The sequence below is a fragment of the Homo sapiens genome, chromosome 1, assembly GCF_000001405.40.
Source record: "Homo sapiens chromosome 1, GRCh38.p14 Primary Assembly".
Lineage (NCBI taxonomy): Eukaryota > Metazoa > Chordata > Mammalia > Primates > Hominidae > Homo > Homo sapiens.
The window spans coordinates 169,324,067-169,339,645 of NC_000001.11; the positions used below are offsets into that span (position 1 = coordinate 169,324,067).

General features: G+C 37.2%; 1 protein-coding gene across 3 annotated transcripts in view; it reads right to left on the reverse strand.

Moving 5' to 3' along the window:
- The window catches only part of NME7 (NME/NM23 family member 7), a 235,267-nt gene that overhangs the window by 191,536 nt on the left and 28,152 nt on the right, over positions 1-15,579 (reverse strand). For 2 of the 3 annotated variants that reach the window (NR_104229.2, NM_013330.5), the window contains exon 2: positions 327-434. Coding sequence is in view for 2 of the 3 variants with exons in the window: in NM_013330.5 (NP_037462.1) it covers positions 327-434 (108 nt within the window). In the remaining variant the exon portion in view is untranslated. The remainder of the gene's footprint in view (positions 1-326; positions 435-15,579) is intronic. The other variant, NM_197972.3, reaches the window with a different exon arrangement.

Sequence of the window (15,579 nt, forward strand, 5' to 3'; positions counted from 1 at the left end):
CTAGTCTCGAACTCCTGACTTCAAGTAATCTGCCTGGGTCGGCCTCCCAAAGTGCTGGGATTACAGGCATGAGGCACCGCGCCCAGCCCCCACTTCAGTCTTCTAACAACAACAACAAAAAATTCCTATTTTTGACATTAAAAATAAAGGCACAAGTTAACTTCTTATATTGGAATTATAATGAATAAGTTTAAAAAGAATTTCCATATGTATATATACACACACACATACATATAAATGTGTTTTTAAAAAGCAATTATATAAAAGGCAATGGTTCCCATGTTCACCCCCTTTGCCAACATTCAAGCAAAGAAAGGCTTATTTACCATTTCAACAGATCCATCCCCTGGGTAAAATAAAAGCTCATAACGTCGAAGAAGTGAAGCATTTGGATCATACCACTCTGCAATGAAAACGAATCTTTCACTATGATTCTGCAAAGAAAGACAGAAGAATTTTAACACTAACATATAAAGAACAAGCACTCTTCTGTAAGTCACACAAAATGAAATTACCAATATGCAAGAAACAAAATTACTTCTACCTATTATATTGAATGTTTCTGCTTTTCAACAAAGTATCAGTTATCAACACACCCTCAGCAATATTTCCTTTCAATTTCTCACTAAATACCCTTAGATATCTCAAAGATGACTTATGGATTGCTTTTTACTTTACAGCCATCTAATCATCCTGAGTAAATTAACGTTTTCTGAGAACATGAGCTCCTGATTTTACTATTGTAACAATTCAGTCCTTCTGAAAGCAAGTTTACATACAGACTATCAATAAACTAATATAAGAATAAATTTCTGAGGAGAGCTCTCAATTATATGAAGTTTTGACTTCCCTAAATTTGAGAATCTAGTAGTATCAGAATATTACCATTAAAATTATAGCAAACATTTTTTTTTCCTTAGTAATTTCATATGATAGTATCTTTTTATAGAAATAGAGAATGTGTTAGTCTAGGACCTCTGAAAATGAATGTGAAGACAAGATTGAACATACAAGAATTTCATTAAGGAAAATTCCCGTAATATAAAATGATGAGGGAGCCAAGGAAGACTAGAAAAGCCGATAAAAACAATAGAAGTTTGACACAGAGTGGTGGAGAGATGCAAGGAAGGTTAAGTGGAATCATCCCACATTGCTACACCCTCTAAGAAAGGTTCTGTAAGCCCATCAGGAAGTGCTAGAGCCAGGTGACTCCCAAGGACAGGGAGGGGCCAGCTTTAGTATCCCTGCTCCTCTCAATCAGTGGCTGGGAGCAGCCTTTGGGAAGCAAGTGCTCAGCACAAAAGCAGCAGTGGATTTCAGAGAACAGCAGCTGGGACCCTTGGTCACTTAGGTTGCCTGTAGTTGGAGGTCTGTGAAGTACACTCTTAGGGCTACCACAGAGAGCAAAAAATGAAAAAAATAAGTCAAAGATGGGTCCTTTTCCCTTGACTATTGAGCAGGACTTCCCATCATATATGTTAGTAAAAATACCCTCGCCCCAAAGATCTTCATTATAATAAGCAAATAAAAGCATAGGGAAGAAGGGAATCTAGGAGTTTTATTGCTAATTCTGGATTTGCCATCTGATGCTCTGGTTAGGGAAAATTTGGGGGTTCTTTTTAAGTTAATAATTGACTTATAAATTCTAATGGTAGAAGTTGTGTGTCTAATGATGTTTATAATATATCCATAAACTATAACGTAGATGACACTTTTATTTTTAAGACACTTTTATTTTTCCCACAATCATCCAAAGACATATTTAAACCATGCTGATTACTCAAGAGAAAATAAATGTAAAATAAGAGACATACTATGACATTTGTAAAAGCCTTTCATCATATATATTTTTCATATTGATTATAACAATACAGCTTTTTTGAGTTTAGGTTTCACTGTGCATTCTAGTATTGTACTCACCTACAAATAAAAATTTAAATATTAGTAGATTATTAAAATTTTTACTATCCATAATAAAATATTTATTTAAATACATAATTGAAATGTTGCCTTCACTAAAATAAATATAAAATAGAAGAAATGACACATCTAACTAAAGCAAATGAAAAATCCACGAAACCTGGTACTTCCATTTATCCATGTAGCCTATCCACCAAACCTGCCAACCACACTCTTTAATTCTGAATTGGGCAGCAGAATTTTGCACTATACTCTATCCAGAAAAGAGTTTTAATACAAAGAAAATAAACTGAGGAACTGTTGCTTCTGGCTATGACAAAGTAGCTCACAGCAAACCAATGCTACTTCTAAGAACAACTAGAAAAGTAGGATATCAAAGATTTGGAGAGCTTTTAAGGCAGCCAGGATCTGAGGATCCAAGATCCAGAAAGACAGGAAGCCCATTGAAGTGAAACCAACATTCATTGCGTTGTCTTTACTCGTAAGACATGTGCTGAGTCTCAAGTCAAGCAGACAAGTGACTGAGAAGCCTAAGAAGCTGGTAGAGGGAGCCCACCAAGGGACAGAGAAACAGGTACAAAAGTGAGCTGAAACCTGTGCTTGTTCAGTAGAGCTTTTGGAAACGAACTCCCAAGCTAGTGCTGTTTCCTCTGTGGGAAAAGGTTTATTACTCCAAGTACAAATTATATTCAAACTTGATTTAAACTTAACTTTCTGGTTTACCTTTACAGTAAAAACTGTGTTTACTTCCTAGAGTTAAAAGATGTACCTGGAGATATAACAGTGGTACATCTGGACTTGGGATAAAACATCACAGTGAGGTTGGCCTTTCAACTACCTGCCTGACACACATGCACATACACACACCATCCAGACCAAAGCCACCCTTAAAATTTAAAGAAAATTTACTTTTCAGCTTTGTTGAGCCAAATCTAGAAAAAAGGAGGAACTTGGTTTCCTTCCTCAAATGCTATTAAAGCTATATATCATTTTGTTTTAACTCTTCACTTTATGGATAAAGAAACTGAACTCCAGATAATATAAATGACTAGCATAAGGTCACAGAGCTGGTTAATAACTGAGCCAAAACTGGAAACTACATTTCCTATGACTCAGATATTTCCATATCACTAGCCTTCCAGGGCCAACTCAAGAGAGAGAAACTAACACTTTAGTAGCACATAGATACACCTTGAGTTGTCTGTCACAGATGCTCTGATGAGAATGCCACAACCTAATGATTACACAGACAATCATTAGCTCCTTCTTCCCTGAAGATTCCAACTTCTATCAAAAGTACTTTATGAGGAACATTTAAAGATTACACTGCATCAAAAAGAGACTTTCTTAAAGAAGCCAAATCATTTTTCCTCTTTTGAACATTTTAAATATAAGTTATACATAATAAAAGAGTTGATCCCTCACACATAATCACACTTTGTTCCAGAAATCTTAAAGTCTTAAAGGAAAATGTGTATTATTATACCAGAAGTCTTGAAGTGACTTGAACTGGACAATGTGGTATTATTATACCCAGAAGCCTTAGTATCTTAAAGTCTTAAGGTCTCTGTCTATACAGAGAGAACTTTCCTAGAGCACCAGTCTTACTCGATGGTAAGTAACGTAAACAATTTTTACACTGCAACATGCATATATGTGTATATAAATATATGTTATTGAGTGGAATGTAAAATTCATATAAGTTTTATAACAAAAAATAGGTGATTTTATGGAAATATTGACCAATATTGGAATTGCAAGTGAAATTATATTTGAAGATTAAACAAGTCTTTGGAGAAATAAATCACACCACCACCTCTCTCTGCTACTGTTTAAAGGAAGGTCCAGCTTTACAGTGGATCATATGAAATTAACAATCTTTTCCATACAGATATACTTTAAAAAATCCAAACTCTCAGTTCAAGAGTAAGTTTAAGCGTATGTTACCAAGCAAAATTGTACCTTGGCCTCATTTCAATAATACTGATCAGAAAGCTATTCCATTCCTGATGATACTATGATCATCAATCAACAAATACCAACTGGGCCTGGTACTACTAGCATGCTGAGTGCAACGAGCACACCAATCTGATAAGTCTGCTGCTGCTGGTGCTACTGCTGCTATCATTTGCTGGCAGCCTACAGCAAGAGACATGGCCCTGAAATGTGTTGCTTAAAGAGAAGATCCAGGAAACTATAAAGGGGTTTTTTGGAGGGGGGGATTATGGAGGAATATTTGTGAGAGTCCAAAAGACCTGGGCAAGACTTAATGTCTCTAACTCTCATTTTCCCCATTTGAAAAATGGAAACAGTACTTTCTTCATAAGGTAGTTTTGGGGATTAAATGACTTAGTTTACATGAAGCACTTAGGATTTCTGTTGCCTATGTCTCCCAAAGCGATGATGGTGGCTTATAGGTCCACCTGTGACTTTAGAACTGCATTGTACACACTCATCTCCCTCACTGATCTTTTTCTGACATACAAGAAGAGCAACTCTGGATTTGTGATGATGCAGCCTCAGCTGCAACTAACCCTAGGTAAATAGTTTTTTAAAGGTCTTTGCAGAAAAAAATCAGTATGAAGGAAAAAGGGATTTATGATGGACAAAAAAATGACTAAAATTATATTTATAAATGAAAATAAAAACTATTGAACATATAATACTAGGTAAATTTTTTTGTAAAGGATATATCATATTAATAAATCAGAGCCAAAGTACAATTCTTACCTTTTGGGGAGTTCAAACAGTTATAGATCTGTTTTTGTCAATAAAAATTTTAGTAACAATTTTCTTTTTAAATTTTATAACACTATCTGTTGCACATTCATCATTAGTTTTATAATGGACTTAGGGTGCCCCTTAAAGCAGATATAGCTTAGATCATAATACCCAAGACTTTTCAAATACATGTAAAGCCTTCCTAAGAAGGATGGGTACAAACATGCCAAGATTGCAGACTACAGTAAATACCTAACTTTTCAGTGCCCAGACACAGATGAACATCCACAAGTATCAAGATCATCCAGGAAAATATGAACTTACCAAATAAACCAAATAAGGCACAAGGGACCAATCCTGAAGAAACAGAGATATGTGACCTTTCAGACAGAGTATTCAAAATAGCTCTGCTATAGGTTTCAAAATCAACCCTGGCTAGGGGCCTGAAGCAAACCAGTTTAGTGCTAACAACAACAAAAAAAAAATCTGATCTAATTTTTTTCACTTTACTTTCTCTCCCACATATTCCTTATTTCTCACTCTACCGCTCCAAGCTTCAACTTCCTTGTTCCTAAATATTTTATGAAAAAGTTCAAAACACTTTTTCTTCTGGATAAGTAATATTTGTGTTTTCTTAATGTCATGCTGTGGTTTGAATTTTCAAATTTCATGAAAATTTGTGTTTCCTGAAAAAAAAAAAAAAAAAAACCTCTGCTAAGGAAACCCAAGAAATTCAAGATAACACAGAGAAGAAATTCAGAATTCCATCAAATAAATTTAACAATGAGATTGAAATAATTAAAAAGAATCAAGCAGAAATTCTGGAGCTGAAAAATGCAAAAAGCGTACTGAAGAAGGCATCAGAGTCCTTTAATGGCAGAATTGATCAAGCAGAAGAATTAGTGAGATTGAAGACAGGTTATTTGAAAATACACAGAGGAGACAAAAAAAGAATAAAAAACATGAAGCACACCTATAGGATCTAGGAAATAGGCTGGAAAGGGCAAATCTAAGTTATTGGTCTTAAAGAAGAAGTAGAGAAAGAGATAGGGGTAGAAAGTTTATTCAAAGGGCTAATAACAGAGACCTTCCCAAACCTAGAGAAAGATATCAATATCCAAATACAAGACGATTATAGAAAACATTAAACAGATTTAATCCAAAGAAGACCACCTCAAGGCATTTAATAATCTAACTCTCAAAGGTCAAGGATAAAGAAAGAATTCTAAAAGCAGCAAGAGTAAAGAAGCAAATAAACAATGGAGCTCCAATACATCTAGCAACAGACTTTTCAATGGGAACTTTACAGGCCAGGAGAGAGTGTCATTACATATTTAAAGTGGTGAAGGAAAAAAAGACTGTTACCCTATAATAGTATATTTAGTTAAAATATCCTTCAAACATCAAGGAGAAATAAAGACTTTCCCAGACAAACAGAAGCTGAGAAATTTCATCAACACCAGACCTGTTCTATGAGAAATGTTAAAGGGAGTACTTCAATCAGAAAGAAAAAGACATTAATGAGCAACAAATAATCACCTGAAGGTAAAAAACTCACTGGTAATAGTAAGTACACAGAAAAACACAGGATATTATAACACTGTAACTGTGGCGTATAGAGAAATGCAAATCAAAACCACAATGTGGTACCATCTCACACCAGTCAGAATGGCTACTAAGAAGTCAAAATGGCTGGGCGTGGTGGATCACACCTGTAATCCCAGCACTTTGGGAGGTTGAGGCAAAAGGATCACGAGGTCAGGAGTTCAAGACCAGCCTGGCCAACATAGTGAAACCCCCATCTCTACTAAAAATACAAAAATTAGCCAGGCATGGTGGCAGGCGCCTGTAGTCCCAGCTATTTGAGAGTCTGAGGCAGGAGAATTGCTTGAACCCGGGAGGAGGAGATTGCAGGGAGCCGAGATCGCACCACTGCACTCCAGTCTGGTGACAGAGCAAGACTCTGTCTCTAAATAAATAAATAAATAAAATCCATTACAAATGTTACTGGAGAAATTAAAAAAATCTTTAGTGGCTACTACAAGCAACTATATGCCAATAAACTGAAAACTCTAGAAGAAACAGAAAAATAACCAGATATATACAATCTACCAAGATTGAACCAGGAAGAAATTCAAAACCTAAAGAGACCAATAACAAGTAATGAGATCAAAGCCATAATAAAGACTCCCAGTAAAGAAAAGTCCAAAAAATAGAGGAGGAGGGACTACTTCCAAACTCATTCTACGAGGCCAGTATTACCCTGATACCAAAACCAGACAATGACACATCAAAATAAATAAATAAATAAAACTACAGGTCAATATCTCTGATAAATATTGATGCAAAACTTGTCAACAAAATACTAGCAAACTGAATTCAGCAATACATTAGAAAGATCATTCATTATGACCGAGTGGGATATATCCCTGGGATGCAAGGATGGTTCAACATAAGCAAATCAATCAATGTGATATGTGATATCAAAAGAATGAAAGATAAAAACCATACAATCATGTCCATTGATGTTGTAAAAGCATTTGATAAAACTCAACATACCTTCATGATGAAAACTCTCAAAAAACTGAATATAGAAGTAACATACCTCAACATAATAAAAGCATATTTGACAAATATGACAGACCCACAGCTAGTATCATACTGAATGGGGAAAAACTAAAAGCCTTTCCTCTGAGATCTGAAACATGACGAGGGTGCCCATTATCACTACTGTTGTTCAACATAATAATGGAAGTCCTAGCTAGAACAATCAGACAAGAGAAAGATATAAAGGGCATCCAAATTGAAAAGGAAGAAGTCAAATTATCCTTGTTTACAGATGATATGATTTTATATTTGGAAAAACCTAAAGACTCCACTGAAAGACTCTTAGAACTGATAAATTCAGTAAAGTTGCAGGATACGAAATCATACAAATATCAGTGGTATTTCTATATGCCAACAGTGAACAATCTTAAAAAGAAATTTTAAAAAGTTATCCCATTTACAATAGCCACAAATAAAATAAAATACCTAAGAATTAACAAAAGAAATGAAGATCTCTACAATGAAAACTATGAAACACTGATGAAATAATTTGAAAAAGACCAAAAAAAAAATGGGAAGCTATTCCATGTTCATGGAATTGGAAGAATTAACATTGTTAAAATGTCCACACTACCTAAAGCAATCTACAGATTCAATGCAATCCCTATCAAAATACCAATGTCGTTCTTCAAAGAATAGAAATAGAAAAAACAATTCTAGAATTTATATGGAACCACAAAAAACTCAGAATAGCCAAAACCATCCTAAGCAAAAAGAACAAAACTGAAAAAATCACATTAACTGACTTCAAATTATACTACAGAGCTATAGTAACCCAAACATCATGGTACTGACATAAAAACAGACACATAGACCAATGGAACAGAATAGAGAACCCAGAAAAAATCCACACACCTACAGCGAACCCATTTTCAACAAAAGTGCAAACAAGATACACTGGGGAAAAGACAGCCTCTTTAATAAATGGTGCTGGGAAAACTAGATGTCTATATGCAGAAGAATGAAACTAGACCCCCTATCTCCAGCCATATACAAAAATAAAATAAAAATGGATTAAAGTCTTAAATCTAAGACCTCAAACTATGAAACTACTACAAGAAAACATGGGAGAAAATCTCTAGGACATTGGTCTGGGCAAAAATTTCTTGAGCAATGCCCCACAAACATAGGCAATCAAAGCAAAAACGGACAAACAGGATCATATCAAGTTAAAAACCTTCTGCACAGCAAATAAAACAATCAACAAAGTGAAGAGACAACCCACAGAATGGGAGAAAATATTTGCAAACTACCAATCTGACAAGGGATTAATAACCAGAACACCTAAGGAACTCAAACAACTCTACAGGAAGAAATCTAATAATCCAGCTACAAAATGGGCAAAAGATCTGAATAGATATTTCTTAAAAGAAGACATACAAATGGAAAATAAGCATATGAAAAGGTGTTCAACATCACTGATCATCAGAGAAATGTCATCAAAACTACAATGAGATATCATCTTATCCCAGTTAAAATGGCTCTTATCCAAAAGACAGGCAATAAAAAATGCTGGTGAGGATGTGGAGAACAGGGGACCCTTGTACACTGTTGTTAGGAATGTAAATTAAAACAACCACTATGGAGAACAGTTTGAAGGTTTCTCACAGAACTAAAAATGATCCAGCAATCCCACTGCAGGGTATATACCCAAATAAAAGGGAATCAGTATATTGAAGAGATATCTGCACTCCTATGTTTGTTGCAGCACTGTTTACAATAGCTAAGATTTGAAAGCAACCTAAATGTCCATCAACAGATGAATAAAGAAAATGTGGTACATATACACAATGAAGTACCATTAAGCCATAAAAAAGAATGAGATCCAGTCATTTGCAACAACAGGGATGGAACTGGAGATCATTATGTTAAGTGAAATAAGCTAGGCAAAGAAAGACAAACATCACATGTTCTCACTTATCTGTGGGTTCTAAAAAATGAAAAAAAATTGAACTCATGGACATGGAGAGTAGAAAGATGGTTATCAGAAGTTGGGAAGAGTAGTGGGAGGCTGTAGGGAAGGTGGGGGTGAATAACAGGTACAAAAAAAATAAAATTAAAAAGAATGACTAAGACCTAATATTTGATAGCAGAGTAGGGTGACTGTAGCCAATAATAACTTAATTGTACATTTTAAAATAACTTAAAGAGTGTAACTGCATTGTTTGTAACAAAAGGATATCAAAAGGATAAATGTATCAAAAGGATAAATGCTTGAGGGGACAGAGCACATTCACCATGATATGCTTATTTCACATTGCATGCCTGTATCAAACTATCTCATGAACCCCATAAATATATATATCTACTATGTACCCATAAACATTTAATATTTTAAAAAAAAAGAAATTTGCCAAGATCACACAGCTTATAAACAGAGGTGAACCCAGGCAGCTTGACTCCAGATCTGCTCTTAGACACTCTCCTTAACTGTGGCAAGAAGGGATGGAAACTCCCTTCTGAGAGACACTGGACTAAGCAGCCTATATAAGCTGCAGTGTTTGCTCGATTTCTAGAAATAGCAACTATATTCTTTCAATTTAACCCCCTATTAAGACAAATCAGGTTTTAAAAACCAACACAACCACAACAATAAAAATCAGGACATACTTATCAGACTTGTAATTCTAACAGTGCACTGAAAAAAATGTACATTGCATTTTTGTAATGCTGTATTTTAGGAAAAATTACTTCACAATAGGCAGCAAAATATTTTTGTTCATACAAAAGTGCTCCCTTCTTTAAATCATACTAAATGGATTCCATAATGCATGATGGAGAAATATCTTAAACTAACTAGAAGTCTTATTTTCATGATTTGCATGTTGAAGGGTCAGTAACTAGTCAATCTATTTCAAGCCAAGTATCTGCTTCTGTTTGACTTCAAAGACATTCTGGAGTAAATTATGTAGATGATAAAGGTTACAGTTCAACAAGCTTCTAAAGTTTAGTCTGAGTCTCCATGAACCCACATTCACCTTGAATGACATTATAATAGAAATCAACAGCATGAGTAATCAAAACAGCATGGTATGGGTAGCAAAACAGACACATACACCAATGGAGCAGAATAGAGACCTCACAAATAATACCACACATCTACAACCATCTCATCTTTGACAAACCTGACAAAAACAAGCAATGGGGAAAGGATCTCCTATTCAGTAAATGGTGCTGGGCAAACTGACTAGCCATATGCAGAAAAATGAAACTGGAACGCTTCCTTACACTTTATAGAAAAATTAACTCAAGATGGATTAAAGACTTAAATGTAAAACCCAAAACCATAAAAACCCTGGAGGAAAACCTACACAATACCATTCAGGACATAGGAATGGGCAAAGACTTCATGACAAAAAGGCCGAATGCGATTGCAACAAAAGCAAAAATTGACAATAGGATCTAATTAATTAAACTAAAGAGCTTCTGCACAGCAAAAGAAACTATCATCAGAGTGAACAGGCAACCTATAGAATGGGAGAAAATTTTTGCAATCTACCCATCTGAAAAGGTCTAATATCCAGAATTTACAAGGAACTTAAACATATTTATAAGAAAAAAACAAACAACCCCATCCAAAAGTGGGCAAAGGATATGAACAGACACTTCTCAAAAGAAGACATTTATGTGGCCAACAAACATGAAAAAAAGCTCAACATCACTAATCATCAGAGAAATGCAAATCCAAACCACAATGAGATACCATCTCACACCAGTTAGAATGACGATTAAAAAGTAGGAAACAAGGTGCTGGCGAGGCTGTGGAGAAATAGGAATGCTTTTACGTTGTTGGTGGGAATGTAAATTAGTTCAGCCATTGTGGAAGACAGTATGGTGATTCCTCAAGGATTTAGAACCAGAAATACCATTTGACCCAGTAATCCCATTACTGGGTATATACCCAAAGGAATATAAATTATTCTACTATAAAGACACATGCACACATATGTTTTCTGCAGCACTATTTACAATAGCAAAGACATGGAACCAACCCAAATGCCCATCAATGATAGACTGGATAAAGAAAATGTGGTACATATACACCATGGAATACTATGCAGCCATAACAAGGAATGAGATCATGTCCTTTGCAGGGACATGGATGAAGCTGGAAGCCATCATCTTCAGCAAACTAGCACACGAACAGAAAACCAAATACTACACATTCTCACTCATAAGTGGGAGGTGAACAATGAGAACACATAGAGAGGGGAACAACACATACCAGGGCCTGTTGTGGGGTGGGGGATGAGGGAAGGGAACTTAGGGGACGAGTCAATAGGTGCAGCAAATCACCATGGCACATGTGTACCTATGTAACAAACCTGCACGTTCTGCACATGTATCCTGATTTTTTTAGAAGAAATATATATAATATATATGTTTATATATTTTATATATATTAAATAAATAATATATATTTAATATATACTTTTATATATTAAATATATATTTATATATATGTTTCAGAAGAGATATATATATATACATATATATAGAAAGAAATCAACACCATCTAAGAACCTGCTCCCTCAAGCCAGCTGCTTCCAGTAAGGGTGAGTGAAAAGTGGCTTCTAAACAAGGAAATTTTCACTTTGCCTTGAACATTCTGAGAACATAGTGTGTCCGGAATTGGTGGGTTCTTGGTCTCACCGACTTCAAGAATGAAGCCGTGGACCCTCGCAGTGAGTGTTACAGCTCTTAAGGTGGCGCATCCGGAGTCTGTCCCTTCTGATGTTCAGATGTGTTCGGAGTTTCTTCCTTCTGGTGGGTTCGTGGTCTCGCTGGCTCAGGAGTGAAGCTGCAGACCTTTGCGGTGAGTGTTACAGCTCTTAAGACAGCGCGTCCGGAGTTGTTCGTTCCTCCCGGTGGGCTCGTGGTCTCGCTGGGCTCAGGAGTGAAGCTGCAGATCTTCACGGTGAGTGTTACAGCTCATAAAAGCAGCATGGACCCAAAGAGTGAGCAGTAGCAAGATTTATTGCAAAGAGCGAAAGAACAAAGCTTCCACAGTGTGGAAGGGGACCTTCCCTTCCACAGCTAGCTCAGGCAGCCTGCTTTTATTCTCTTATCTGGCCCCACCCACATCCTGCTGATTGGTAGAGCCGAGTGGCCTGTTTTGTCAGGGCACTGATTGGTGTGTTTACAATCCCTGAGCTAGATACAAAGGTTCTTCACGTCCCCATCAGATTAGTTAGATACAGAGTTTGGACACACAGGTTCTCCAAGTCCCCACCAGAGCAGCTAGATACAGAGTGTCGATTGGTGCATTCACAAACCTTGAGCTAAACACAGGGTGCTGATTGGTGTGTTTACAAACCTTGAGCTAGATACAGAGTGCCGACTGGTGTATTTACAATCCCTTAGCTAGACATAAAGGTTCTCCAAGGCCCCACAAGAGCAGCTAGATACAGAGTGTCCATTGGTGCAATCGCAAACCTTAAGCTAAACACTGGGTGCTGATTGGTGTATTTAAATCCCTGAGCTAGACATAAAGATTCTCCAAGGCCCCACCAGAGCAGCTAGATACAGAGTGTCGATTGGTGCACTCACAAACCTTGAGCTAGACACAGGGTGCTGATTGGTGTGTTTACAAACCTTGAGCTAGATACAGAGTGCCGATTGGTGTATTTACAATCCCTGAGCTAGACATAAAGGTCCTCCAAGGCCCCACCAGACTCAGGAACCCAGCTGGCTTCACCCAGTGGATCCCGCACCGGGGCTGCAGGTGGAGCTGCCTGCCAGTCCCAGTGCCGTGTGCCCGCACTCCTCAGCCCTTGGGTGGTCGATGGGACTGGGCGCCATGGAGCAGGGGGCGGCGCTTGTAGGGGAGGCTCGGGCTGCACAGGAACCCACGGAGTGGGTGGGAGGCTCAGGCATGGCGGGCTGCAGGTCCCGAGCCGTGCCCCGTGGGAAGGCAGCTAAGGCACGCGGTGAGAAATCGAGCGCAGCGCCGGTGGGCTGGCACTGCTGGGGGACCCAGTACACCCTCCGCAGCTGCTGGCCCGGGTGCTAAGTCCCTCATTGCCCAGGGCCAGCAGGGCTGGCCGACTGCTCCCAGTGCAGGGCCCGCCAAGCCCACGCCCACCCGGAACTCCAGCTGGCCCGCAAGCGCCGCACACAGCCCTGGTTCCCGCTCACGCCTCTCCCTCCACACCTCCCTGCAAGCTGAGGGAGTGGGCTCTGGCCTTGGCCAGCCCAGAAAGGAGCTCCCACAGCGCAGCGGTGGGCTGAAGGGCTCCTCAAGTGCCGCCAAAGTGGGAGCCCATGCAGAGGAGGTGCCAAGAGCGACTGAGGACTGTGAGGACTGCCAGCATGCTGTCACCTCTCAATAGCAGATCATTAAAAATGTATTATCTACACAGTAGGCAAACAAGCATAGTAATTCACATTGCTTTACTTAGATGTCACAGTGATAAGTACAATAGAAATAAAAACACAAGGAAAAGGTTTATATTATCCCATTGTCAGAGGCTAGATTTTAAGCACTAACTTGTTTTGTACCTATCCTTTATCAAATAGTCTTCCTCCAGGGCTTCCTTCAAAGACCAAGAAATTTTCTTACATTGAATAGTGTCAAATATTAACCTTACTTTAGTGTGACCATAACCAGTTTTGAGCCTGTCCAGGTTGTTCACAGAGACCTATTCCTTCTTCATAAATCTATCTTGTAAAGACAGACAGAAGGCAAACTCAAGTAAAAAGGGTCTTCACGTGTGAAGAATCTAATTTGTCAACTCCAACTTAGCATTTCTCATTAATAAAGGAAAACAAATTATAACAGAAGGAAAAGTTAGGTGAATCATTAAATTTAGTTAGCTATCCTATTTCACTTAAATTCTTTAAACACTAAGTATACCATTGCAATCACTTTTTGCTTTTAAAAAATTACAGTTTAAAATTTCTTTTGAAAAAATATTTTCAACAGAATTCCACATATTTCCAAGATTGTGTTTTTTAATGTTACTTCAAGACAATATCTCAGAAATAGAATGCATTGTTTTTGTGTTTACAGAAAAAAGTCAGTGATGCAATGAACAGAACACAAACACCTGTATTTCCCCAACTGTGATGTTTAAGATGCACTTTCAACTTAACTCCTGCTAAATTTTGTTAGTGAAAAATGCCAGAAAAGAACCATTTCCACAGTATGAATATATAGCAGGAAGCTGGTCAAACAAGATGGAATCGTTTAAAAAGGCACACATCCAGTTTCAGGGGAGAAACAGCTTTTTAAACTTCTTCACCTTGGGCCCCATAATCTTGAAAATTTTTGCTCTCTGACTTCTGCAGATCACTGCCCAGTGAAAAAACAATGCCACACACCATCTATCAAGGGAAACCTCTCTAAAAAGGTTGAACTTTCCTTTAGACATCTCAAAGAAAACACAGTTATTATGAAGTCTTCCCAGACCAACCCCAGCCAATGTATATTTCTGTTACTTGGAATTTGATTTTCACAGAATTTCAGAGATCAAAGGAACATTAACAATGAGGAAACAGAAGGTCAGATAAGTTAAATGACTTGGCAAAAATGATGTTGACTTGTTAAGTGGCATAGTTTAACAAGGACCCTTGTTTCTTCACGGGCAGACTGATGTTCCCACAGTAGAACACTGGGTTGTCGTCTAATTTTGTATTATACAATACAAATTGTCTCTCTAATAAAATTATGAAATTCTCAAAGAAGCTGTAACATTTATTTCTCTTGAAACTTCAAGGTGGCTCTCCTAGTTCTGGGACCATAAAATACTCAAATAAATATTTACCAAAATAAAGATCTAAAGGAGTAAATAAATGTGCACAGCAATAGATCTTGACAAAATGGCAAAAATCCACTCTTCCATATTCAAAAAACTCCCCCCCAAACTCTAATATTTGTTTGTAAGTCTGTTTACTTATATTTCCAGAAAGATTCTCAAAGAGGACATCTTTTCTTACTTTTTTGGTAAGTATGGGCTTCTCTGACTACCATCTTAAAAGAATATACTTGATAAAGTATTAAGTAACTCCAGGACATGAGTTACCCATGAGAGATCACTTGCCAACAATTAACTGAACCACAATATTCCAAAAAGAGAGATGGCTCTTAATCAATAAATAAATTCTGGGTCTAATTATAATGGCATGAAAATATTTAAGCAATTATAAACTACTCAATGTTCAGATAGAAAATTGACTTTATTATTGAGCTAGAAATCAAATGATAACACAGAAAATAACAATATAAATGCTAACCTTGAGTTTTTCCAAAAAAGCAACTGTTGTCAAGGTCACAAACACACTGAGCCAAGTCTTGTTATTCCTTTATCCCATAGCTATTGTACTACTTGG